This window comes from Homo sapiens, chromosome 16 (assembly GCF_000001405.40).
Source record: "Homo sapiens chromosome 16, GRCh38.p14 Primary Assembly".
Taxonomy (NCBI): Eukaryota; Metazoa; Chordata; class Mammalia; order Primates; family Hominidae; genus Homo; species Homo sapiens.
In genome coordinates this window covers 10992479-11019789 of record NC_000016.10, presented here as the reverse complement: position 1 = coordinate 11019789, position 27311 = coordinate 10992479, and the positions used below count along the sequence as shown (strand labels likewise).

The 27311-nt window shown below is 46.4% G+C and overlaps 1 protein-coding gene across 38 annotated transcripts in view, besides 3 other annotated features; it reads right to left on the bottom strand.

Moving 5' to 3' along the window:
- Positions 1 to 27311, bottom strand: part of CLEC16A (C-type lectin domain containing 16A) — a 237623-nt gene that overhangs the window by 162397 nt on the left and 47915 nt on the right. For 21 of the 38 annotated variants that reach the window (NM_015226.3, XM_005255214.3, XM_011522434.3 and 18 more), the window contains one exon: positions 16485 to 16716. In NM_015226.3, coding sequence (NP_056041.1) covers positions 16485 to 16716 — 232 coding nt within the window. The remainder of the gene's footprint in view (positions 1 to 16484; positions 16717 to 27311) is intronic. The other 17 variants (XM_005255211.3, XM_047433851.1, XM_005255213.3 and 14 more) reach the window with 1 other exon arrangement.
- Positions 2784 to 3078: a silencer, noted in NCBI's record as "tiled region #10204; HepG2 Repressive DNase matched - State 5:Enh". NCBI's record gives its function as "represses a minimal TATA promoter and a strong SV40 promoter by Sharpr-MPRA in HepG2 cells {active_cell/tissue: HepG2}" and the evidence as "EXISTENCE:reporter gene assay evidence [ECO:0000049][PMID:27701403]".
- Positions 11413 to 12117: an enhancer, noted in NCBI's record as "NANOG hESC enhancer chr16:11101530-11102234 (GRCh37/hg19 assembly coordinates)". NCBI's record gives its function as "activates a minimal SCP1, AML or CMV promoter by ChIP-STARR-seq in naive and primed H9 embryonic stem cells {active_cell/tissue: H9 hESC(naive and primed)}" and the evidence as "EXISTENCE:reporter gene assay evidence [ECO:0000049][PMID:30033119]".
- Positions 13594 to 13830: a silencer, noted in NCBI's record as "fragment chr16:11099817-11100053 (GRCh37/hg19 assembly coordinates)". NCBI's record gives its function as "represses an EF-1alpha promoter that drives an FKBP-Casp9 reporter gene in an ReSE screen in HepG2 liver carcinoma cells {active_cell/tissue: HepG2}" and the evidence as "EXISTENCE:reporter gene assay evidence [ECO:0000049][PMID:32094911]".

Here is a 27311-nt window from a genome sequence, read left to right as displayed (position 1 = left end):
TTTTTTTTTTTTTTTTTTTTGAGACAGAGTCTCGCTCTTGTCACCCAGGCTGGAGGGCAGTGGCGCAATCTCAGCTCACTGCTACCTCCGCCTCCAGGGTTCAAGTGATTGTCCTGTCTCAGCCTCCTGAGTAGCTGGGATTACAGGCGCTTGCCACCACACCCAGCTAATTTTTGTATTTTTCGTAGAGACAGAGTTTCGCCATGTTGGCCAGGCTGGTCTCGAATTCCTGACCTCAGGTGATCCACCCACCTCGGCCTCCCAAAGTGTTGGGATTACAGGCGTCAGCCACCATGTCTGGCCTAAAGCTGCTTACATTTTTAATAGAAAGCTCTGATGTGACTGAAGCCTTTTGTTTTCCTTTTTTACTTACAACTTCCAGAAGGCAGAGAGAGATTAGGAACCTCATTTTTTCTCCCCATTAAACAAGGGTAACCTGTAGCAATCAGCTTAAGCATGGTGTGCATTTTTATTTTTCAGAAAAAGTTATGAACCACCAAAGAAAACATCTTGAATTAAAGATGGATGAGGGTTGGGCTTTATGGTGTCCCCATCAGAGTTCTTGGCTGTGCGGGCGTGGACTTTCAAACAGTCAGCCTTTGGAACTCAGAGTTCACATCTTTTTCCCCACCTTCGGGAGACATACAGGGGGTTAAAAGAGATGACAAAATGTGAACCTGCACTTCTGTTTCCAGAGGGATGTGAACACATACCTTGGGCTCAGACACCGCCTCTGCCATGGTCTCCCTCCCCCCGGCTCATGCAGGGACGTCTGCCACCTCTTCTGCCACCCTAATGTATTCTCCACACAAACCCAAGTGATTTTAATGAAATTAGCTCATGTCACTCCTCTGTTCAAAACTCCCAGTGCCTACTCATCACTCTCAAGATGAAATCCAAACACACGGCCTGGCCCCAGTCCACCTCTGACCTTACCTCCTGGCCATCCCTGCCTGGCTGGCTCATGCTGCTCCAGCTGTGCTGGGCTTCTCACTATCTCTTGAACATCCCAAGCTTGTCTCCATTTTTTTTTTTTTTTTTGAGATGGAGTCTCGCTCTGTCGCCCAGGCTGGAGTGCAGTAGCATGATCTCGGCTCACTGCAAGCTCCGCCTCCCAGGTTCACACCATTCTCCTGCCTCAGCCTCCTGAGTAGCTGGGACTACAGGCACCCGCCACCACACCCAGCTAATCTTTTGTATTTTTATTACAGACAGGGTTTCACCGTGTTGGCCAGGATGGTCTCCATCTCCTGACCTCATGATCTGCCTGTCTCGGCCTCCCAAAGTGCTGGGATTACAGGCGTGAGCTACCGCGCCTGGCCCAAGCTTGTTTCTATCCAAGGATCTTTACACAGTAATTTCCTCTGCCTGGAAGGCTCTCACACCAGGTCTCTCCTAGCCAGGTGTGACTGGGGTGCATCATTCAAGGCTCAGTTCACATGTCGCCTCCACGGAGACATCTTCCTGGACGCCCTCTTCACCTGTTTTTTTTTTTTTTTTCTTTTTTGAGACAGGGTCTTGCTCTGACACCCAGCCTAGAGTGCAGTGGTGTGATCATGGCTCACTGTAGCCTTGACCACCTGGGCTCCCGAGTAGCTAGGAACACAGGTACATGCCAGCACACCCGGCTAATTTTTTAGTATTTGTAGAGATGGGGTCTCACTATGTTGCCCAGGCTGGTCTCAAACTTCTGAGCTCAAATGATCCTCCCACCTTGGCCTCCCAAAGTGCTGGGATTATAGGCGTGAGCCACCACACCGGCCTTCACCTGCCTTTTTTTTTTTTTTTTTAATACCTCTTTAAAAATTGTTATTAACTAAACTAAACTCTACACTTTGGGCAGATTTCATTAGTTTTTCCCAATGTCTTTTTTCTGTTCCAGGATCCCTTTTACATTGAGTCCTCATTCTTAGGTTCCTCTGGATGTGACGTTTCTCAGACTGTCCTTGCTTGTGATGACCTGGACATTTTGAGGAGTACTGGTCAGGCATTCTTGAGAGTCCCTCACTCTGGGTTTGTGCAATGTCTTTCTGCTATTTAGACTGGGGTTACAGGTTTTGAGGAGGAGGACCACAGAGGGGAAGTACCCTTCTCATCACATCCTATCAGGGCACATACTATCAATATGACTTATAACTGTTGATGTTAATCTCCAATACTTGGCCAAGCTAATGTTCATCAGCTTTCGCCACTGTGAAGTCACTTTTCCTCCTCCTTCCATACCATACTCTGTGGAAGAAAGTCAGTAAACACAGGCCACACTTAGAGAATGGGACATTAGGTTCTGAAACGTCTTCGCGTATCTCCATAAATTATTTGGCATTCTTCTGTAGAGGAGATTTGTCCTTCCTCCCCCTTATCTTGATTTTACTTAATAATAATAGCATTCATTGTGACTTGGCTCTTACATTCTCTATTGTTCTGCTTCTTTACTGTCTGCCTTCCTCCACTAGAACAGGGGTTTTGTAGCTGTCTTATGTGTCTTGTTCTCCACTGTCTAATCCAGTGTCTGGCACAGAGTAGGCACACAATAAGTATCTCTTGAAGTGATAAATGAGCGACTGGTCTAGCCCAACACGAGATGTTTTGGCAGCGGGCCCGAGTGGCAATGATTCATGGTAGCTGTGATCTGAGGCGGGGTGGGCCACTCCCCGACAAAGTCTGTGATCAATGTGGTCACAAAGTGTTCTCGTGGGGAGATATCTCATGCCCCAAGAGACTCTCCCCAGACTGTTAGGCATGACTGTACCTGCAGGCACCCCTTGGCATGGAGGAGCACCCCCCCCCCCGCCCCGATATTCACATGGGCCCCGGCCCTATGTGAGGTTCACTCTCACCATCCCCCTTCCCTCCCATCTGATCTGAAGTCAGATGTCAAAGATCAGAGTCTCCCACAGGGCGGGCCCCATCACACAGGTGGGAGCCAACAGTGCTTTCTAAGTGGTGTGTGGACAAATGCTTTGTTTGCATAGTTTTGTACTTATTTCATTGTGCATTGGAAGAAAATTCTAGCTGCACAGAAAGCCTTCTGTGGATATTAGTGCTTAGAATAAGGCTAAATTTTGGGAAAAAAACAAGTGAGTCAATTCAAAGAAAGCTATCCAGTAAACAGCAGAGCAAACAGTACACAGATATGGCCAAGAGCTGGAATGTGGGCTGGGCGTGGAGGCTCATGCCTGTAATCCTAGCATTTTGGGAGGCTGAGGCAAGAGGATCCCTTGAGGTCAAGAGTTTGAGATCAGCCTGGCCAACATGGTGAAACCTATCACAAACATTAGCTGGGTGTGGTGGCGGGCGCCTGTAATCCCAACTACTGGGGAGGCTGAGGCATGAGAATCGCTTGAACCCAGGGGGTGGGGGTTGCAGTGAGCCAAGATTGGGCCACTGCACTCCAGCCTGGGTGACAGAGTGAGACTCTGTTTCAAAAAAAAAAAAGAAAAAAAAAGAAAAAAAAGAGTTCGAACGTGGTGCAGACTGCTGTCGGGGAAACATAATTCTCTTTCCCTTCTGCCATTTTCACCTTCACCAGCCTCCTTCAGGCACCTAGTGTCCTCCAACTACCTTGGCCATCTCCAAAGTGGGTATGGACCTCAGTGGGCATGCAAGATGATTCCCTAGGCAGTAGGTCTTTTAACGCTTCTCATCTTTTAAAATCTATTTTGTTTTATACTGTCCATAATACTAGCATGATCATATTATATATAATTTATAATACATAAATTTTTACACATATTTGGGAGATGTATGCTTAAATGTCATATGTATAGGTTTGCTTGTGTTTACTAACAAGGCTTGCCATCAGACATCTGAAGACTCCCAAGCAAGCCTGTGAGGCTAGCCTCCTCCTCGTCTCCCAGCCTCTGGCCTCTGCCCCATGAGGCAGAGGACGTGGCATAGGCCCACCTCCCCTACAGCTGCAAGTTCTCCTTCCCCAGGCTCAGCTCTGCCCTGCTTGGTTGACACAGTGGGAACTCAGCTCCAAGTACTTCCTAAGGTTACAGGGCCAAGCCCCAGCACCCTGGCCTGGAGGCCAAGCTTTGTGACGTAGTTGTCCCCTTTCTGGCTTAATCTCGTTGGACACCAGCAGAATTCCGGAGCAGAGAAGAGGGTGAAGACAATTCAGCACCAAGCTCATCCAACTTTTTTTTTAAGCAGCTGAATACTAATTTGCAGGACAATTTTCCAGGGCATCCCACCACAGTCAGCAGATGAGCGCAGAGCTGCTCCAGGAAAGGGTGGTGGGCATCAAATGCCTCTGACTGCCGTGGGCTCCCTCGTGCACTCCATGAGGCCCCTTTCTGGAATTCTACGGCTTCACACAAAACTGCTTGAAAACCACCGTCTGGTCCAACCCTGGATATTGAGTATGAGTGCACAGAAACCCACAAGTGCAGTGATTCTTAACACAGCTGGAAATGCAGCAGCAAAGCCAGGACCGCTCCCCCTTCCTCACCCCCAACCCCCGTGTCACATCTTGACGCAGAACCAGACCCACATGGGCCTCTCCACACAAAATGGGATTTCCACACCCTGGCTGTGACACCTGTGCGCACAGCTGCACCTCACAGTCCTCATCCAGCTAGCACAGCTGTAGAGTGAGTGGCTCCACTTAATTTTCTAGATGAATGCGGATCAGATCTTCAAATGTCAAGGAAAGGTTTCTTGCTCTTCTTTTTGATAGTTTTATCCAAACAACCCTTATAGGTACTGAAACAACCCTTATAGGTCTGCCAATTCCCTGAAGCTCTATGCAAAGTGCTATGTGGGCATGGGACCAGTTGGTAGCAGGTTTTTGGGGGAAAGGGCTCCCCAGATTCTCACTGCTCTAAAGTGAGTATCATCTTTAGAAGAGGACATCAAAGAGGACTTGACCTCCCCTGATGATCAGGGTCACAGGGAACCTCCTCATAGTGCTACACCTGAAGTTGGCACGGTTCTGTGCCACTCCGGGCCCCAACTCCAATTGTCCCTGTTGTCACTGGCCAGCCTCCCTCCCAAGGTGCGGGCGCCACACTGCTGCCACCAAGGAAAGCAGCTCAGTAGGCTATGTGGATACAGAGTTCCACCTATGGTCCCCAAGGCCGGGACTGAGGCACTGAGGCTGGATTTCCAGGGGGCTCTGACTGAACCTCAGTTATGATACTATTTGGAGTTTGAAGGGACTGAAGCAATAGTTTAATTTGCTTGCTTTTATGATTTCTGTCACGTCTCTGTGTTACCTGTACTATTTTTCATTTTATTTGAACTATTACTTTTTTTTCACTTAAATACAGCTTAAAAGGAAAGTTTAAATCACCGTTATACTCTACAACCTAGCAGCCCACTTGTAGGTCTTTCTCCGCAAGACACACCTCTGGAAGTATGCAACTGCACATGCACAAGGATATTTACTGTAGTATTCTTTGTAATTGCAAAATACTGGAAACTACCTAAATGCCCAGGCATAACAGACCGATGGAATCAACTATGGTACATACACACAGCACAGCTGTGAAAAGGAATGAAGAAGATCTGAGAAATGATATGGAGTAATTTCCGGAGACATTGCTAAGTGGAAGGAACACATATGCTACCCTGTATGTAAGAAAGGAAAAGAAGAAAACATACACAAATCTGCTTATTTTTACAGAAAGAAACACAGGAAGGAGACTTCTTCAGTACACAATCAAGTTGGTTATCTATAAGAGATGACAGGAATTAAGTGGAAGGGAGGAAGGATACTTCAGTTTGCTAATATTCCATGCATTTTTAAAATGAAAATTAAATCAATGAGAATGAGAAAGAAGAAGCCTAAACTGGAAATTTTAAAAAAGAATCCAAATTTCTTCTTCTTCTTCTTCTTCTTTTTTTTGAGACAGAGTCTCACTCTGTTGCCCAGGCTGGAGTGCAGTGGCATGATCTCAGCTCACTACAACTTCTGCCTCCCAAGTTCAAGCAATTCTCCTGCCTCAGCCTCCCGAGTAGCTAGGATTACAGGTGTACGCCACCATGCCCGGCTCATTTTTGTATTTTTATTTATTTATTTATTTTTGAGACAGAGTCTCACTCCATCGCCTAGGCTGGAGTGCGGTGGCGTGATCTTGGCTCACTGCAACCTCTGCCTCCCAGTCTAACGGGATTCTCCAGCCTCAGCCTCCCCGAATAGCTGGGACTATAGGTACACATCACCATGCCTGGCTAATTTTTTTGTATTTTCAGGGCTCCACCATGTTGGTCAGGTTGGTCTCGAACTCCTGACCTCAAATGATCTGCCTGCCTTGGCCTCCCAAAGTTCTGGGATTACAGGTGTGAGCCAGCACACCTGGCCTCATTTTTGTATTTTTAGCAGAGATGGGGTTTCACCATGTTGGCCAGGCTGGTCTCAAACTCCTGATTTCAAATGATCCGCCCATCTCAGCCTCCCAAAGTGGTGGGATTACAGGTGTGAGCCACCATGCCTAGCCTGAATCCAAATTTATTTTAAATGAATACCAAATCCACTCTGAATGGGGAAAGGAAGGATGCTCAGATTAATCCAAGTAGCTTATAAACACAATACAGCAGATCTTTGAATAACATCATTTCATTCAACATTGTTGCATTATAACATGGATGAGGATAAAAAGAAAAAAACTGATTCCCAGTCCCGGCCACCGTCTATGTGGAGTCTGCATGTTCTCGCCATGTCTGCATGGGTTTTTGCCACATATTCTGGTTTCCTCCCTCATCCCAGAGATGTACATGTTAAGTTCCCTGGCATGTCCACACAGGCGCAGTCTGAGTGAGTGTGGGGGCGTGTGAGTTTGTCCTGTGACAGGATGGTGCCCTGTCCAGAGTTGGCTCCCACCTGGCGTCCTGAAGTACCCAGGCACTGGTCATACAAGATCCTAAACTGGAAATATGCGAGTTGGAAAATAAATGAATACAAATGATTGTCAAATAACAATTCATAAAGTAGACGATAATACAAATGCATGACAATAAATGATGTGGTATGAAAGCATTCAACAAGCCTACCAGATTTGTGATTGGTTTTGAACCTCGTGCAGGAAGGAGGTGCTCCTTATGATTTTTCACTTTGCAAACATTTATTCCTTGATTTAACCCACCACCACCATGACTGCTGTTCATTCATTAATTCACCAAAAATCGGGTAAGTAATTATCTTACATGTTTTCATAAATCTTTCTTTTTTTTTTTTTTTTTTTTTTTTTTTGAGACGGAGTCTCACTCTATCGCCCAGGCTGGAGTGCAGTGGCGTGATCTCGGCTCACCACAAGCTCCGCCTCCCGGGTTCACGCCATTCTCCTGCCTCAGCCTCCCGAGTAGCTGGGACTACAGGCACGTGCCATTCCGCCTGGTTAATTTTTTGTAGTTTTAGTAGAGACAGGGTTTCACCGTATTAGCCAGGATCGTCTCGATCTCCTGACCTCATGATCCGCCCACCTCGGCCTCCCAAAGCGCTGGGATTACAGGCGTAAGCCACCGTGCCCGGCCCATAAATCTTTCTTAAGTGTATGTACAGCTCACATTTATTTCAATGTTTAATGCTAGAAGTATTTTGGGCCTTTATGTAGAAGTTAGATATGTTTTCGTGACCAGAAGTATGCCACATGAACTTAACTCCTGTTGATATCAACTCACCTATGGTAAAATTGGTTTCTTTATACATAATTTCCCTTAAGGTCACAGTTTCTAAGAACCTATCCTTGATGTTAAGTGAGGAATTAATGTGCTCAGCTATATATCCTCTATATGGGGATAAGTAAAGTATTGGGGTGGGCATGGGGGAGGGAAAATTGCAAAAACATCCTGAACTGTTTTTTAAGCAATAAACAACTCTAAGTGAAGCAATTCTGAAGCTTTTAGGTGCATTATAAGATTGGGCAAATCAGTGAGTAGACGTTGTTAGGAGTCAGGGCTCTCAGTGTACAAGAAGAAACATACAAATCTAAGATGGGAGAGGACAAGAAAAAAAAAACCTGTAAATTCACTGGAATTGGGGGTACTGGTATGAACATATGATTTCTAAAATACGTGTGTGTACGCATGCTTATATGTATGTATATGTAGGCACATATAAATGTACACTTTGTATATGTACATACATAGATTTCCTAGCTTTCTCCACTGAAAGGGCCAAACTGCAAAGATACCTCAGTAGCGATGAGCACATCCAGTGCCCAAATCTTGGCCTCTAATACCCCTGCCCATGGACAGGAGCCAGAGAAATGGTTAATTCCAAGGACAGGCAGAGGAGGTACTAGATGAACACAGAACACCATGTTATGCCAGAAAGTGTAAGTGACTGCTCAAAAAATCACCAGGCAAGCACATGACAGCCAGCTTGAAAGGGTTCCTGCAGGCCAACTCTGGGACAATTTAAGCACCAAAATAATTAAATACAGTAATGCACTATAAACCATTAGAAAATTGGAATCCATGAGTCCACACCAATAAGAGATAAATAAATAAATGAGAAGAAGGGAAAGGTCTTGCTTACAACAGAATGCCAAGGGCTGACTTTTAAACACAGAGAGAATGTTGAACGTGGAAAATCATCTTTTCCTGCCCATTACGATAGTGACTGAACCAGGCAAGAATCATCAACAAATGTCAAATCTAAGGGGGAATTTTAACAAGGGGCTGAATATCTGTATGATCCCAAAGTGTCTCCCTGTGGACTGCTTATTAGTTGGGAAGAAAAGGAAGGTCATTACACAATACAGAAACTGGGCAACACCTTAGTCATGTGACCAAAACGAACATCACCCAAGAGGGACAGAAGGACATCATGTGCCTCCAGATGTGACACCCTGAGAAGTGCATGACATCACCCATGCCGTGTTCCAGCCAAGAACGCATAATCTCAGTCTAATCACAAGGACACATCACACAAAGACAAAATGAAGGACGTTTTATTAGAACAAAAAAAGGAGGAGGTTCTGTATTCCTCAAAAAAAAGTCAATGTCGCAAAAGAGAAAGAGATCGTGGAAATGTTCCGGAGTAAAGGAGGCTGGAGGCGTGACAACGGAAGGCACCACCCGCCTCTGGATTGGACCTTGCACTGGAGGAGAGAATATGCTAGAAAGACATTATTAGGCCAATACAACAAGAACACAGCAGGAGAATACTATGAATTTGACAGCTGTGCTGTGCTCATGAATGAGAACACCTTAATCTTAGCAAATGCTCATGATGCTTCAGGAGGAAAGGGGCACGATGAATGTGCGTGGGGTGTGTGGGGCGGGTGTGCAGACAGAGAAAATACAATAGGAAAGTAAATGGTATGAAATGTTACAGGGGTAAACTGGGTAAAGGGTAAACAGGTGTTCTTTATACTATTTTTGGCTTTGCACCTTTTGTAAATTTGAAATTATTTTCAAATAAAAAGTTTGGGAAAATTACCATAAGCATAAAACCAGTATAAATAGAAAGCAACTACAAAAATATACATGATGAATAAACAAAAAGGTGCTAGGGCCTGTTGTGTGCATTGAGAAAGGGAGATGAAAGGGAGATTCATGTTTATGAAAGAGGTATTCAAGTACTAAATACCTGTCACAGCAAATATGCAGGCTCCCCCACCCACCCTATCCCCTGCCATGGAGATAATCATTTAGAATTAGAGCTCTTGCACCATCTTCTTTTTTTTTAAGAAACAAGGTCTCACTCTGTCACCCCGGCTGGAGTGTGTGGCACGATCACAGTTCACTGTAGCTTCAACCTCCTGGGCTCAAGGGATCCTTCCACCTCAGCCTCCAGAGTAGCTGGGACTACAGGCACACACCGCTGTGACTGGCTAGTTTTTTATTTTTTGTACAGACAGGGGTCTCCCTATGTTGCCTGGCTGGTCTTGAACTTCTGGGCTCAGGTGATCCTCTTGTGTTGGCCTCCCGAAGTGCTGGGATTACAGGTGTGAGCCACTGCGCCTGGCCACCATATTCTTTAAGGCTCTCCCTGTACCATCTAAAACCATCTCTATATTCTGCAGTGGTAGAAATACTTATGTACCCTCAACTCTGCATGTTAAGGCAGGGGAAACTGAAGTACCAAGGCATTAGTCTCTGCCCCAGGCTACTGTGGGCTCTTTTCTTTGCACTGCCCCCTTAAGTTGTGGAAATGAGTGCCTGCACAGTATCAGTTCCCATGCCAGGCAGCATGGCCCGTCATGTCCAACACTCCAGCGCCTAGCCTTGTAGGTGGTACGGCGCCATCACACAACTGAAGTTTCCCGCCTCTAGGAGCTGAGTAATGTGATTACCATCCCACAGCTCATGAGGCTGCAAAGCTGGGAGCAGGAACTCAAATCTCCAACTCATTTTGCTTTGGCCAGTACCACCCAGACCCTCTGCAGCCTCTATCAATTCTACAAAAGCCTCAAAGGCAGGAATGGATTTGTATACCCATGTTTATAGCGGCATTATTCCCAATAGCCAAAAGTGGAAGCAATCCAAGTGTCCATCAACAGAGGAGTGGATAAAGAAATGTAGTCCAGCCATATAACGGAATTATTATTCAGCCTAAAAAAAAGAAAGAGAAGGAAATCCCCAGCACATGCTACAACATGAATGAACCTTGAAGACTTTATGCTAAGTGATGCAAGCCAGGCACAAAAGACAATACTGTATGATTCCATTTGAATAAACGACCTAGAGCAGTCAAACCCATAAAGACAGAACATCAAAGGGTGGGGTGGGGAGTTATTAAATGGGCACAGTTTTGGTTTTACAAGATGAAAAATGAAAAGCATTCTGAAGACAGATGGTGGTGATGGTTATACAACGTGAATGTACTTTTTTATTTTTTTTGAGACAGAGTCTCGCTCTGCTGCCCAGGCTGGAGTGCAGTGGCGCGATCTCGGCTCACTGCAAGCTCCGCCTCCCGGGTTCACGCCATTCTCCTGCCTCAGCCTCCCGAGTAGCTGGGACTACAGGTGCCCGCCACCACGCCTGGCTAGTTTTTTTTTTTTTTTTTTTTTTTAGTAGAGACGGGGTGTCACTGTGTTGGCCAGGAGGGTCTCGATCTCCTGACCTTGTGATCTGCCCACCTCGGCCTCCCAAAGTGCTGGGATTACAGGCGTGAACCACCGCACCCAGCCGAATGTACTTAACACTACTGAAATGTGCACTTAGAAATGATTCAGATGGTAAATTTTGTTATACGTATTTTACCATAAGTTTAAAAAAAGGAAAAAAAAAGGGAGCAGGGAAGGCCACATCTTTCCACTTGTTGTCCAACTAGTGCCTATGTGGGGAGGCACTGGTGTGGGCCAGGAGAGTCCTGAGGGCCCTCAGCACCCAAGGACGTCCACTTCTGCCTCTCTAAATGACAGCTCTGGCCAGATTCTTGAGCTTCCCTGATACTCTGACACACTCATTTTTCAAATTACAGCAATAATTTAACAACTCGCCCGGGCTGATGTCCATTCGAATCTGATTAGTATTTGGTAAATGAAGTGCTTTTCAGGGAAATGGCAGGCATGGCCTCCCAATAGTCTTTGACTTCACAAATTCAAGGATTTTCTCAGTTGCCCTCTGTGTTCCATATTCCAGCGATCACAGCAAGGACAGACTGAAAAAAGATGGCAAGAGGGGAATAAGACCTTCAAAGGAAGGCTAAGGGGAAAGATGCCTGGCTGGTTACCTAGGATATAAGGGACAGCCTGCATGTAATTGGCTGGCTTTTTAGCAGAATTTCAAGAAGCAAACAGCCCCTGACAACGACCGAGAGTGTGTGCGCTAAGTGCTCTAAGTACTGGGGGCAGCCCTTCCTTTGTTTTTTTATTATCTTCTACTGCCCAGCAGGAGATTGAGTTGAGAACTGTTTTCGGGAAGTTGCTCTTCAGAGGCTTTGTCCTAATTCACCTCTAATTCTCCTCCTTATCCCAGTTAAGCCCATCTGAAAACCTGACAGCCCCACAACATCTCTCTACTGCAGCGCCTGGGCCTGCTGATCCTTCTTCTCCCTCTCTTCCCACCATTACACACACACATACATACAAACACACTCACTCTCACACACATACTCACCTGCACACTCACTAAGCTCACTTACTAGCTGTAGAAATTAACAGAGAAACGGGTCCCACAGAAACGTGCTTGGTGCCCAAGTGGAGGTCATGCAACCACACTCAAATTGCTGTTCGAGCGCCTCACTCTGCCCTCCACCTTGGCCAGGGTTCGTAGAAAGCTCCTGTGTCACATGCTGAACGCTACAGTGTTGATGTTCTCACTTATGACAATCTGAGGCCCAGGCATTAGGAAGTCCCCTCTATAGGTGGAGAAGTGCAGAGAGGGCAATTACTTGCCCAGAGCCACACAGCTGTTCAGGGGCAGAGCTGGGATTCAGATCTCAACTCTCCGATAGTCAGTCCCTGGCTTGCCCCAACCAAGACACTGCCAGGCCTGGGGCTGGCTCTAATTTTGAAAGAGGAGCTGGAAATGAGGCCAGGTTTCATCCCATTTCAGTAGAGACTTCCAAAAGAAAAAGAAAAAGGCAAGATGGGTCTCTAAACTCCCAGGTACCCTCTCAAACCCAGCTAACCTGGCAGGTTCAAAGGCCTATCATCTTTACTTCATGCCCTTGCTGGAATTTCAACAAATGAGTAGGCTTTGAAGGTGAGTCCGGGCAATTACTTTTTCCATAGGCAAAAAAACAGTAGTCCAGCCCTATTTTTACATGAGGAGTTTGAAGGATTCAGTCCCTAGGATATGCTTATTAAGTTACTGCTCTAAGTAAATTCCAAAAGAGATAACTGTCCTTTCAGACTCAAGGGCAAGCTAAAAAACAAGCACGTACCCTAGGAAGTCTGCCTTCCTGGGCAGAGTGAATGCTTCTTTGCCTACAGGGACGATGATATCCTTCTTTTTTTAGTATTTAATTTCTGCAAATTTAGGGGCCCTGTGATTTCTTGGTTGCAGAATGAGTCACCCATTACTTGGGACCTGAGGCAGAGCAAATTCCTCTGTAGACTGGGGAAGGGAGTGGATGGGTTAGGGGTGCACATTCATTTCACACAACTTCCTTGTCTGAGCTTAAATCTGGAGGAGGTGTGAATTCTGGGTGCTGCATTTATAAAAAATAACAACAACAACAACAAAACAATACACACTAATGCCATATCCAAATTGGGTCATGGCAAAACTGTGCCTCGTGACCACATGCCTTTTTTACTCCTGTATTTTCCCCGTCTTTTAAAGTCAAAATTTCACTACTAAAATGGGATTGGCAGGGTATGCAGAGGCAGAGTGTCAGCATCTCTTTCCTTAAGAGTCACCATGTCCATCTGTCGATAAGTCCGTGGATCTAGGGACAATGAAAGGAGCTTCTAGAGAAGAAATAATGTGGAAGAGAAAAGAGCCGCATGTCTATCTCAAAATAGGATGGCAGAAGATGGCCTTGAGAGAGAAGGGGAGTACCCAGAAATACAGTGTGACTTTCTAGGGGGAAATCTGCTATTTCTGCTGGCCCAGCATCCCTGCCCCTTGCTTCTGATAAACGCATCTCATTTTTTACTGAGGGAGCCACTGTAGCATAGATTTGTCATGCGGGCCAGGCCAATCGGTCCAGAATATCTCTGGGGGTGGGAAGAGGACCCAAGTCAGGCCCACAGTACCCACAAGCATTGGCCCCAGGACTTCAGTGGCAGCCACTGGGAAGGAGAAGCCCCCTCTCCACTTGCTGGCCAAGCTGGGACGATGTGAGCGCACCTGGGCCCAGCCCTGTCCAAGCTTCCCAGGAACATGAACAATAAACACCCTCTTTGCTTAAGCCAGTCTGAGTTGGATTTCTAAATCTTGCAATCGCAAATATCAACGTATCTTCACTTAAAAAAAAAAAAAGTCATCATGTGAATTATATTTTCTATATTCAGAAATTTCCAGACAGGAACAATGAGGTCCAGAGCTTCAAGAGGCCATCCAAGACACACAATAAACCTAGATGCTGAGACATGACTGCGAGTCAGATCTCGCATCTTCTAGGCACTGCCCAGCATCTACACTGTTCTCTGGTATGCAATGTGAATGAAGAAATGTGCCTGACACCCTTCCGACTCACAGGAATTAACAGCTGTGCAGTTTCATCCAAACACAGATACCGTCTAAGGAGAGAACACCCACCAACTGCACCTTCACATTTACAAATAATCAAGAGAGCAAATATATAATTCAGAAAGCTCCAGAATACAAGTGCTGTTGCCTGGCAGGACCGGTCTATGAAAGTTGTATGTATTTATGGTGAGCTGAGTGACAAAATGACAGATCCATCATATTTTGAAATGACTAATGTGCTCAAGAAATTAGGAGGGCATCAAAATTGCACAGGTCATTGAGAGCCATGTGTGACTGAGCCCTGAAGCACCAACTGTTCAAGCAAAGCCTCTGGGGAGATTCCTGGGTCCTGTGTGGCACGATCTGGCTAAGTAACCACCTGGAAAACAGGCTTTTGGACGTGGCAGAAATTCGTTCCCTTGTACCCTGCCCAGGGCAGCTGGGCACAGCTTCCAGGAGCCCCTACTCTAATTCAAGCAGTTCAAGCTGAAACAGCAGCCTGCAGAACTGGCCTGAAGCCCCTGTGTGCCAGGACTGGGCTGGCTGGCTGACTAATTTGATTGTGATTTTGGGGCTAAGCCTGTCTGATCCACACCACTGTTAGTCACAGCTGAGGCCTGGTTAGAGAGCATCCTTAAAAGGACTGGAATGAAAGAGGTAGCATCTTTCCAAAACAAAATCGATGAGAACACAATGCACAAAATGAGGTGAAGATGTCCATTTCTCCCCCAGTGTGGCAACAGAACAACTAAACCTAGGGATTAGGCAGACATTTTTCTTCAGCATTAACAACAAAATAATCAGAATGACCCCAATAAGCAAATTAGCATGGCTTACCTTGGGTTTGGCCTTCCCCTCCCCACCACAGTGATATTTATTGGCAAAGGCTTCCCAGGCCAAAAATGAATTCCTAAACCAAAACACCTATTGCACACTTTAAACAGAAATAAGAGGAGGCTGGAGATCTCAACCATAAAAAGAGGTCTCGGTGGCACCAGAGAGACATTTTGGTTACGCTTGTTGAAATGTGATCATGGTATTCACTGACAACTGCCAAGAAAGTCATGATGGAGCAAGCAAGGTGGTGGCGGAGGCATTCTTTGGCTGCAGAATCTCAGGCAACTCCCAAAAGCAAATGAGCTCCCAGTCACTGAACGAGTGGCTCTGTGTTACAGCTTCAGATGCCCTGGACTGGGAAGCTCACGCAGTCCTTGCTGACAGGGCTGTGGAGAGGTGGTTTCAGAGCAGCCACTGTGAGCCCAAGGCCCAGGAGGAGGGCTCACAGGAAGTGTTCCCCACACCCACAGAGACTGCAACCAGACTGCTGAGGAGATGCCAAGTTCATTCCAGAAAGTGTGGCCAGACCTTCCTGAGAAGAGCCCCAGCTCCACTTCTACCAAGTATCAAGCTCCCCATCACTTCCCGCTGCCCCCAGCCCCAGTGCCCAGGACGACGGGCAGAGACCCCAGCTGTGTGGCTGTGAGCCTGGCCCATGACACAAGCAATAGGGCAGTTCCATTCTGCTTAATCCCAAGAGTAAATGATCTCCAATTCAAGAAGGTTTTAGCATCTCAACGAGAGGGAGGTGAAAAATTGACCAGAATTCCCAAAAAGGGCAAAAGGAGGAATGAATGATTTTGCTTACAGAGCACATACGTACTACACACGAGTGCACCTCATTCTAAACAGACAGGACTTAAAAAACCTTAACGTAAGAATTGAGAGAATTATATTTGATTTTTCAGTATTTTAAAAATACTAAACACTTTTTTTTTTTTTTTTTTTGTAGAGACAGGATCTCGTCATGTTGGTGAGGCTGGTCTCAAGCTCCTGGGCTCAAGTGATCCTCCCACCTTGGCTTCCCAAAGTGCTGGGATTAAGGTGTGAGCCACTGCACTCGGCCTACAAGCATATCATTTCATTAAACACAAATCCTCTTTCTTCCCGCAGTGCACAGGATGCAAATCATAACCCCAGGTTATTGGGAATAATTATATCAGTAATAAGGATAAAGATAATAATAATTCCATGCTGCTCCTACTGTCATAATAATGACGAACACTTCTGCAGCATCGAAGCCTTTGCAGCATTTAGAATGGGCCAGGCACTGTTTGGAGCACATTGCACATATTCGCTCATTTAATTCTTGTATGAACACTACAAAGTAGGTACTATTTGTTACCCTCCTTTAATAGGTGAGGAAAACTGGCCCCAGGTCACCCATCCCATGAGGGCGGGACTTGCCCTGGACCTGCATATGACATACACCTACAGCAGCCTCCGAGTGGCAGGGCTGTATAGAATGAGGTACGCCAGTGTGAGGTAGGAATCGAATCACTGGCTGGACACTGTGGGGAGCAGAAGTCTGGGTGGAGAGGGCACAGGTGGCAGCCTCGCTGGCGGGCTGGCTGGCGGCGCAGGCACAGGGCGGCGTTCATGGGGACACTCACCTTCACTCTCCCCACTCGTCTTGATGCCTTTTGAACCACCCTCTGTACCTTTAGCCTTCTCGGCGTCTTCTTGGGCATCCTCGGTGGGCCCTTTCTCCTCATCTTCTTCTTCCCCAACGTTTTTGTAGTTGGGTCTCTTTTGCACCCGCCTCTTGCCCTTGTGCTTGTTCATCTCAAGGGACCGCTCGAGTGTCTCGGTGGGTTTAATGAAGCACCGAATGCTGGGCTTGGCCTAGGAAAGTCCAACGAAGGCAACAGGTGAATTTGAACACTAGAATCCTGCTGGATGCTATCAAGTTGCCCAAAAGTTTCTGTCCTAAGAAACTCATCTCCAAAAGAAACCATTATATCATAAGATAGCTGCACTCGCATGCTTACTGCGGGACTATTCACAATAGCAAAGACATGGAATCGGCCTAAGTGTCCACCAACAGAGGACTAGATAAAGAAGATGACATGTATACACACGATGGCATAGTATTCAGCACTAAAAAAGAAGGAAATCATGTATTTTGCAGCAACATGGGGACGATTATCTTAAGTGAAATAACTCAGACACTTACTGCATATTCTCATAAGCAGGAGCTAAATAACATGTGCACATGGCAGCAGAGTGTGGGATGATGGACAATGAGACTGGGAGGGGTGGTGGACTTGGAGGGGGTGGATGATGGGAGGGTGTTTGGTGGGTCCAGTGCGCATTACTCCAGTGATGGATGCAATGAAGGTCCTGACTTCACCACAATGCAATACATCAATGTGGCAACACTGCCATTTTACCCCATGAACACAGACAATAAAAACATATTTTAATAAAGAGAAATTAATCTCCAAAACAAATGCCACCTCCAGATCTATTATTATGCCCATTATTAACATCATCATCAAATAATCAAAACAACAGTGCCAGCTACCATTTACTGTCTACTGCCCTAAGTCAGAAATGGTGCACTTTACCAGCAGCAGCTCTACACTCCCCAAATATTAGCTGTTTGTGTAAGGAGAACTTCTGATGAACACTTCTGTGGTACTTTCTTATGTGTCAGATGCTGTTCTCAGGCTCTGACTATATGATCTCACTTGAACTTTATAGCAACTGCATGAGATATTACTGTGTCATCCTCATTTTACAGGTGAAGAAACTGAAGCACAGAGACAGAAAAGGATCTGCCCGAGGTCACACAGCCAGGAGGTGGCAGAGCCGGGATTCAAAACCACGTACCAGCCACACAAGCTGTGTCTTAGCTACAGCCCACTGATATTATTATTAATTTTAACCCAAATAAGTTCATTTTAAACAAAACTATCACTACAGGCAATGGAACACTAGCGTGCCTTGCTATTATATTAAACATAAATAACCAGAAAGAAAAAGCCAGGTGTAGTGGGTGTTGTCAAATTCTGGCTCTCATTAGAAAGGGAGCCTAGTAAGTATCAGCAATAAGTCAAAGATCAGCTCGCCCCAGAGGACAAAGTTCTTCCTTTAAAAAGTCAGAGATGGCCGGGTGTGGTGGCTCACCTCTCTAATCCCAGCACTTTGCGGGGCTGAGGTGGGAGGGATTGCTTGAGGCTGGGAGGTCAAGGCTTCAGTGAGCGAGATCGTGCCACTACACTCCATCCAGCCTGGGCGACAGAATGAGGCTAGTGTCAACTGTGGTTCATGCTTCATATTAGTATATCTCAGTCTTTATAACAACCATAATATATAGGAATTATCAGTCCCATTTTTATCATTGAGAAAATAGAGGAGCAGAAAGGTTAAATAACTTGCCCAATGTCACACAGCTACTGAGTTGGAGTCAGAATTTGAATTGGGGCTTACTGGGGCTTGCCAATTCCAAAGCTCACACTCTTCCTAAAAGAACAGTGTTTCACCAGGAGCTAAAACTTAATTCTACATTTAATGCTCTTTAAAGAGGAAGGCCAGGCACATGGCTCACACCTGTAATCCCAGCAATTTGGGAGACCAAGCTGGGAGGATCACTTGAGCCAAGGATTTGAAGACCAGCCTGGGCAACATGGCAAAACCCCATCTCTACAAAAAATAGAAAAATTAGCTGGGCATGGTGGCATGCCCATGTAGTCCCAGCTACTTCAGAGGCTGAGGTAGAAGGATCGCTCGAGCCAAGGAGGCAGAGCGCCAACATGGCGCCACTGCACTCTAGCCCAGGAGACAGAGTGAGATGTCTCAAAAAAGAAAATAAAAAAAAAAGGGTATAGACATGCAAACAGACTAGAAAGGCACAAAAGACAGAAGAAAATTGATTTGTTTAGGGCGGGATTTTGATTGAAGTGTTTTTCTCTTATCAGAGTCTGAAATAATGTTCAGATATCATTTTGTAATTTAAAAAAAGTTTCAAAATAAACTTTTCCATTATCTTGATATAGATTATCCATCTGAATTTACCCCAAACGACCACCAATTATATGCTGGGGAACACCGTACCTTGCCAATAAATGGAAATGTGCTCAAGGAACACAGATTAATTTCAATAACGCTCAAAACAAAACCTAATTGAAAGGTGAATTAGCATCCAAATATAAACATTAATTTTTATTTGCCCACTGTGGATTATTCAACCACAAAAAAATGACACATAAATTGCTGCATGATTCTACTGTCCAGGAAACCCAGATAGCGTATTACAGACGCCAATAACCGAGGGCCCCCAGATGGGAGCGTTCTGAGAATGCACTGCTTGACAGACAGCATCCATCAGAGCCCACTTAGGATGCCGGGTGATCGAATGCAGCCTAGTCGCCCTCTCATCTTCTCCTGAAGCATCCAAACCCAGGAAGTTAGCTTCCTCCCATCACTGCCAACTCCTAGTGAATTTCAGAGCCGGCCACACAGCAATCAAAGCTTTCAGAAACAGAAAATAGAGACCAAGCGCAGGGCAAAACGTCCCCTAGTTTGAAATTAAGAGCAGAAATTCACACAGACAGATATAGAACCCCTCCCTAAGCTCTGTGTGGACTCAGACATACAGAACAAACTGGCAGAACTGACGAAGTGAAATAAAGTGCTCAGCGCCTGGGGCTGGCCAGAGTGGTCTGAAACCCAACCCAGCTGGCCTGTCCTAGGCCTCAGGTTCCTGTTCTAAAACATGGAGAGTAATTCTGGCCCCCTAGAACCAAAGGAACCCATGGATATAAAGTTCATTCAGAGGCCGGGCGTGGTGGCTCACGCCTGTAATCCCAGCACTTTGGGAGGCCCAGGCAGGTGGATCACCTGAGGTCAGGTATTCAAGAGCAGCCTGGCCAATATAGTGAAACTCCGCTTCTACTAAAAATACAAAAAATTAGCCAGGTGTGGTGGCGGGCGCTTGTAGTCCCAACTACTCGGGAGGCTGAGGCAAGAGAATCGATCGAACCTGGGAGGCGGAGGTTGAAGTAAACCAAGATTAAACCACCGCACTCCAGCCTGGGCACAACAGAGTGAGACTCCGTCTCAAAATAAATAAATAAGTAATAAAGTTCCTTCAGAGAGTGCCGAAACGGTGAACATCCAACACAAAACATTACCTTCTTTTCCTGCTTACATCTAAAAAAAGAAAAAAAAAATCAGCTGCAAGAATGAATTTTAAAACTTTCCAAAGGGATCTACTTTTCTCAGTGATCAGGTGTCTGGTGTGGGAGGGCATGCTTACTGGGGAAATTTCAAACCTTTATAACACGACCTTCCAGTAAACAACTGGAAATAACCTAAATGTCCATTGATAGGGGAGTTGTTAGGTAATTATGATCTGTTTGTCCAAAGGGTGGGAATCTAAGAAGACTGGGGCCTTTTTATTCCTAAATAAACTGATGCAGACTCAGCACCAGGATGAAAATGCAGGAAGGGAGTAGGCAGTAGGGTCCCTTTCAAGTAAAGCTTTTCAAAGGCTATACGTGATGGTGTAAATGCGACTTTTCCTGGAAAGATGCCTAAGAATGTATTGGCATCTTGGGGGAATTAAAAAAAGCAGTGGCACTGTGTACACACCCACACAAGCACACTTTTTTTATTTTATACCTTTTGGTTTGAGATTTCTAATCATGAACATATATTAACTTTATTTTAAACATTCAGCTGGGTGTGGAGCTCATGTCTGTAATCCCAGCACTTTGGGAGGCTGAGATGGGAGGATTCCTTGAGCCCAGTAGTTCAAGACCAGCCGGGGCCACACAGTGAGACCCTGTCTCTAAACATATACATATAAATAGATACATAATACAAATTCAGCAGGGGTCATTTGGACATTGGGACTAAGGACTATTTTTGCTCCCTTTTATTCTATATTTTAAAAACCTGTTTTTTGTTTTTTGTTTTTTCTTAAAGCTAACACCAAAACATCACAGTTAGCATGCAGAGGCTGGTAGAATTTGGCTGGGAAATGTGGGCAGAGATTTGTGACCATTTCTGTTGCTCCGGTCACCCTGCTTCTGGCTGCCAGCCTCCAAGGATGCTCCAGTCTGAAGCCCCTAGGAGAAGGGCCCCTGTCCCTCCTCTCGCCACTGTGCTCTCATCTCTACCCCACGGTGCCTGGACCAGAGCAGGGGCGGACAGGCTGCTGCTGAGTGAGCTCATGGCTGTAGGAATGAATGTTTGTACCAGGCTGTACCCAAAGGGCAAGACAGAATGATGAAAAAAGGAGAAGAAGGAGAAGGGAGGGAAAGAAGGGGAAAAAAAGCCAAACTTTCTCAGGAGCTAAACGTAGCAGAATGAAAGAGCAAGCTCACCCAAACTAACCAGAAGTGGAAAAGCCCACTTCAGAGTAAGAAATCACAAGGCGTTTGGGTTGATTTTCTCATAAAGAAAGTACACAACACATGCCCCAGGGAAAAGTATTCTGCAAAGAAGGTCTACATGTCCCAAATGCCACAGGTTTAGGTTTCACCACGCGCTCATCTCCCAGGTGCCTGAGGCTGGGCTACAGGAGGAGCATGAAGGGAAGGAGCCTCTTTGCTGACTGCAGTGAAACACAAGGGAGCCCTGAGCTCTGCAGCTGAATATTTGGGCTGGCTTCTGGGGTGAGGGCCAGCTAACAGTCAGCAACTACATTTTAGAGGTGCCCCGGGGCCTAACTACTCCCTAAGCGTCTGCACCTGCCTGCTGGTTAATGACGTCTTCCATCAGCCTTGAACCCCTTCACCTGAGGCTTTGGTCCTTGCTTTTTCAAAAGTCAAACACTTTGGGAAAGGTGAATCCCCAGGGATCAATCTTTCATGGAATGGAGGAATCTGTGTGCAGAAACTGCAAAGGGCAGCAATGGGATGGGAGGGAGGATGGAAACAACCAAAGACTGGGTGCCTGAGTGAACGAGAGGAGACACATGGCTGAGAAGACAGATGTCAAACAAACATGTTCCACCAGGTGTGGGTACAGCAGCTTACAAAGACCTGGACACAGGCTGCACAAGAAAAAGCAAGTTGCAATCAATCAACAATTAATGATTCAGTTTATGGTTAAAATAAAACCAAAACTATAGGGCTGAAACATAAGTGCATATCATGTATTCCTGGGTTGATACTTACATGAAAATACACAGCGAAAGGTCTGGAAGAATATACAAACTGAGAACAGTGGTTCCCTCTGAGGAAGATACTGAGGTTGGAGGACCTTTCACTTTCTGCTCTACCTGCGTCTACATCACTCAATTGTTTTATTACCAGCACTATTTAGATATTACCAGCACTAGAAACTTTTATTACCAGCACTATTTACACGTAAAGAACATCTTTACAAAACGCATTAATGCCACTGAACTGAACACTTAAGAATAGTTAAGAGAGTGAATTTTATGTTTATTTTATCACAATTTAAAAAACTTTGAAAAGGCAAGTTTATAAGTTAGGATGGTGATTCTCTTGGGTGGGGTGGAGGTATGGGTTACAAACTGAGGAGGGGCTTTATGGGAATACCAGAAATGTTTTCCATCTTGACTCGAATTATACATGAATATAATCATGTGCACAAAATCATCAAGCAGTACATCTAAGATTACTAAACTTTTATGTACTTTATTGTATTTATGTGATTCCTCAATTTAAAAACTTTCCCAGGCTGGGCGCAGTGGCTCATGCCTGTAATCCCAAGATCTGGGGAGGCTAAGGCAGGAGGATCACTTGAGCCCAGAAGTTCAAGATGAGCACAGGAAGCATGGTGAGACCTTGTCTCTACAAAAAATACAAAATTTAGCTGGGTATGGTGGTGCATGCCTGCAGTCCCAGCTACTTGGGAGGCTGAGGCAGGAAGATCACTTGAGCCCAGAAGGTTGAGGCTGCAGTGAGCTGTGGTCGTGCCACTGCACTCCAGCCTGGGTGACACAGCAAGACCGTGTCTCAAAAACAAACAAACAAAAAACACCAAAAAGTTTACCAAGAGGATTTTCAATGAAGTTGGATTGCTGTAATGCCCTAAATACAAGGTAGGACAAAGCGAACAGGTGGGAGAGCTGGATTCACTGATCACTGATGAAATGAGGGGGACTCAGGTAAGCGCAGGAAGCCACAGGCCACGCCTCTCAGAGCCCACAGTCCACGCCTCTCAGAGCCCACAGTCCACCCCTCTCAGAGCCCACAGTCCACCCCAGACAGGTGAATCCTGGTGAATCCTGCATTTATTGCCACATGGCCCATGCAGACGCTGGAAGAGAAGAGGTTCACACAAGAGTGATGGGGCCGCAGAGGAAGGGAGGGAAAATGCGCCAGGGCTGGGAGGCATAGGGGGAGCTTAGGACGGCTTGATAGAGGAGGAAATGACTGATACAAGTCTTGGATGTCAACAGGACTTCAGCAGCATGCTCAGGAAGGAAAGAATAGTAGGAAAGCCAGCTCAGAGCCCAGGAGGAGCCAGCTCTCTAGGTGTGCCCAGAAGCCACTCACCTTTTACTTCTGCTAAGGCCTAGGTCACCTGGGGCTGGTGCTTGGTGACAGTGGTGGTACCCTTGGACCCAAGGTGCTCGGCCAGCTCCCCAGGTAGGGGCAGATGCACAGCCGCTGGACTTTGCAGGAAGTCAGGGCAGTGGTCCCCGGCCAGCCAGTAGCCTCTCAGTCAGGCACTAGCCCGTGCTGCTCACAAAGGGGTTCTTCAGGCTCACAGCCTCAGAAGAGATATCAGATACCTTGACTCAATGCCCTATAGATGCAACGTGTTGAGTGGGTTTCTCAGCATCTATTCAGTGGGGCAGCAGGGAGGGGAGAAAGCAGTTGTTGGCGAGTGACCAGGAAAGGGGATGTAAGGGCACCAGGCAGCCTGCCCAGGGAAGAATCTTGGTTGAGCACGAAGGAAAGAGAGACCGGTGGCCAGAGGCATCAGGTAAAGGAAGGAGAGATTCCAGGGCCTGAGATTCTGTCTGAATCTATCAAAGCTGTTGTGATAATCAAGCTAAGAAGACCCTTCCAGGCTCTCCTAGGCCGAGCCTACTCACCCTCTGAGGATGCTTCCTCAAACAGCTCTGCTAAGCGATTTGAGAAGTAGGAGAAAGGTTTTCCCCTTAAGAAAGGAGACAGGCCATGGTGACTAACAAAAAACATGCCCAGGCAGACCTGGCCCCAAGTCTGAGACCCACATTCTACTAGCCAAGCGACCCTGACCACAGGAGCCTCAGTTCCTCATCTGTAAAACAGAGACAAGAGTAGTTCCATATCACACGCCACCATGGGGGTAGTGTGGGATCCAACAGGCAAAATGCCTGGTACAAGGGGGCACCAGAGAAATTTTCATTGCCCTTCAACCCCCTGGCAAATAGATCACGAGGATGGAAGAGAGGGCAGGGGAGGGGCTTTTAAAGAACAGTCATGTTCTATGCTTTAAACTTGACTCCCAAGCTCCCAGCAACTTACTGCTCGCTGGCCTTCTGCTTTGTTAGTGGGCTAGACTCAGCCTCCCCAACATGCTCCTGGGCCCCTGGCTAACCTTCCCCATCTCCGGCCTCAGGCGCCAGGACTGGCAAGGTACACAGCAAGGTACAAAGCCAGGGTGGGATTCAGAGGCCCAGGGTCCCATCCACCGTGGTTTCAGTCCTGGCTCCACTGCTTCCTACCTTCTCCTCTATAGGTCTCAGTTGCCACAGCCATCAATGGGCATCATATTAGCATCTCCCCAACAGTGCTGCTGAGAGGTGCCAAGAGATGGCACACTCTTGTTACTCTTTCCAGGTAATAACAGCCATCCTGAATACTCAGTGAACACTTAAAATGTGCCCAGCATGGCTCTGAACACTTTATATACATTGTCTTGCTTTATCCTACAAATAACCAAATGGGGCAAGGAACTACACAGGTGAGGATCTTGCCCAAGGTCACCCACTAGTGAGAGGCAGAGGCAGGATTTGAACCCAGGAATAAACTAGCCCCAGTGCCCAGGTGCACAACCTTCCTGCCACATGGCTCAAACACGATTCCCTTCCATATGCATTTGCTGCACCTCCCAACGTTGGGCCAGCCTCCCGGGAGCACTGATGTAAAGACTAGGCCATGCCGACGTCACACTAATCAGAGAAACAGTAGCTCTTTGCAACAAAAATGCAGTGACAGTTTATGCATCACTCAACAGGTGGTCCTCTAGCCTGACAATTATATGGTTGTCTATAATGTGACTCTTTTCACTTTTTTTTTTGAGACAGGATCTTACTTTGTCACCCAGGCTGGAGTGCAGTGGTGTGATCTTAGCTCACTGCAACCTCCGTCTCCTGGGTTCAAGTGATACTCCAGCCTCAGCCTCCCATGTAGCTGGGACCACAGACACACACATCTTTTCACATTTTTACCTGATAAACACAGAGACAAAAAGTCACAGGAGGTCACACCCACTGTAACCAACAGCACTGTAGCACATGGCTTGGCCACTGGCTGAAAAAGGAAGCCGGGTGATGAGTGCAGCAGAGTGAACCTGTTCTCATCCAGAAGGAGGTGATTGGCAAGCAAGCACCAGATGGGTGATGTACCCCAGGGTGATGTATAGACATATGCCTTACTCGCCAATCCAGGAGCCGCGTGGAGCTGTGGAACCAAAGCCCAACATGCATGAAGAATGCACAGCTGCAACATCAGTGAGGCGATTTGACGGCACTGCCGAAATGTAAAGGAGAAAATGAATGCTATGGAGTGGGGAACATGCAAAGGTAGCAGGCCGCTTCCATTAACAAGGAGAACACGGCATTCTTCTCCATGAATTACCAGTTATCAAGTGTTGCAGCTGCAGAGGCGTAAAGCAAGGAAATGTCCATCTCTCAGGAATTGGAACAGACTCACAGCACTCACAGGCCTCTTGCAGCCGCGTGCTCAGCACTTGACGCTGAGATGAGGAGCAGGTAACGTCAAGATGGTGCTGCAATTTCCTCTTGGAAAGTGACCTCTGGCGTGTCACTAAGTCTGTAGGGGGCCAGCCTCCTCTCCCTTGCCTTCCCCATCCCAGGTCACCTTCTCTGTCCCTCTCAATGCCAAGCAGCATGTCTGGCACTGTCTCTGGCATTCAATCAAGAGGGAATGCTTGTGGGATGAATTAATTGCAAGATCATCACGAGCATTGAACAGGCCTCTTCAATCACACAAAATGAGGCATCTCACACTCCCTTACTAAACAATGACAAACCAAGCACTTATTTGGTATTTCTTTGGAAAGAGTATTTTACTATATTTTGAAAAAGATGAACTGTGAAACACTGGTTATTCTGTTACTCAGAACAGCCCAAAATGCTACACTGCCCTGACATCTCATGCCAAACTGGAAAACATAATTGCAAGTGGTGATAAAAAGACTTGGAATAGAAACAGTGTGAGATTTGGGGCTAGTCACCTGCAATCCCAAAGGAACAATCACGGAACCTTGGCTTCCTTATGGGGAGCGTGTGACAATAACACCACCTCGCTCTCTTTCATTATGAGCGTGAAATGAGATGTTCAATGAGACAAACAAGTAAGCTTGACTTCTTTTCTTTCTTTTTTAGACAGTCTCACTCTATTGCCCAGGCTGGAGTGCAGTGGTGTGATCATGGCTCACTGCAACCTCCGCCTCCCAGGCTCAAGAGATGGTCCCACCTCAGCCTCCTGAGTAGCTGGAATCACAGGTACGCATCATCACGCCCGGTTAATTTTTGTATTTTTTTGAAGAGACAGGGTCTTACCATGTTGTCTAGGCTGGCCTCAAGTGATCTGCCCACACCGGCCTCCCAAAGTGGTGGGATTACAGGCATGAACCACCAAGCCCAGCCAGGTTCATCTTCTATAAAACGAAAACCGTCCCTCTCTTCCACCAACCCAGGATATTTCTTGAATGCTGGCCTCTCTCCTGATCCCATATACACCCAACTCCTTCCCACAGAGGCCTCTGACTCACCATTTCTCATGTTTTGGCCACGCCCCCCGACCCAACCCCTCAACTCTCAGCAGGCCTAGCTCCCTGACCTCAGTTCTCAATATTAGGCTCCCTCCTTAGAGGGCTTCCCTCATCATACCTCCCAAAGTTGCTTCTATTTCCTTCCCATATCCAAATCTTAAATTTGTGAGGATGAGCTGGCTTACTGTCTATCCCCCACAAATAGATCATCAGGGAAGGGACAGATGTCTTGTTCATTCACAGCACCTGCCTGCAACTTGTAGGGGCTCAACAATTACTCGAGGCAGGGAGTGCACAAGGGTAAGTATGGCAGCCAGCCTCTGCCTCACAGATGGAGCACATTCTGCTCATGTCAGAAAATGACCCACCCAGAACTCAAGTGTCACCCAGCACAATATTATTTGAGTGAATAAAACCATTTAATGTTATCTTTTTCTTTTTTATTTTTTAATGGATGCATTATAATTGTACATGGTTATGGGGTACAATTTGATGTTTTAATATAT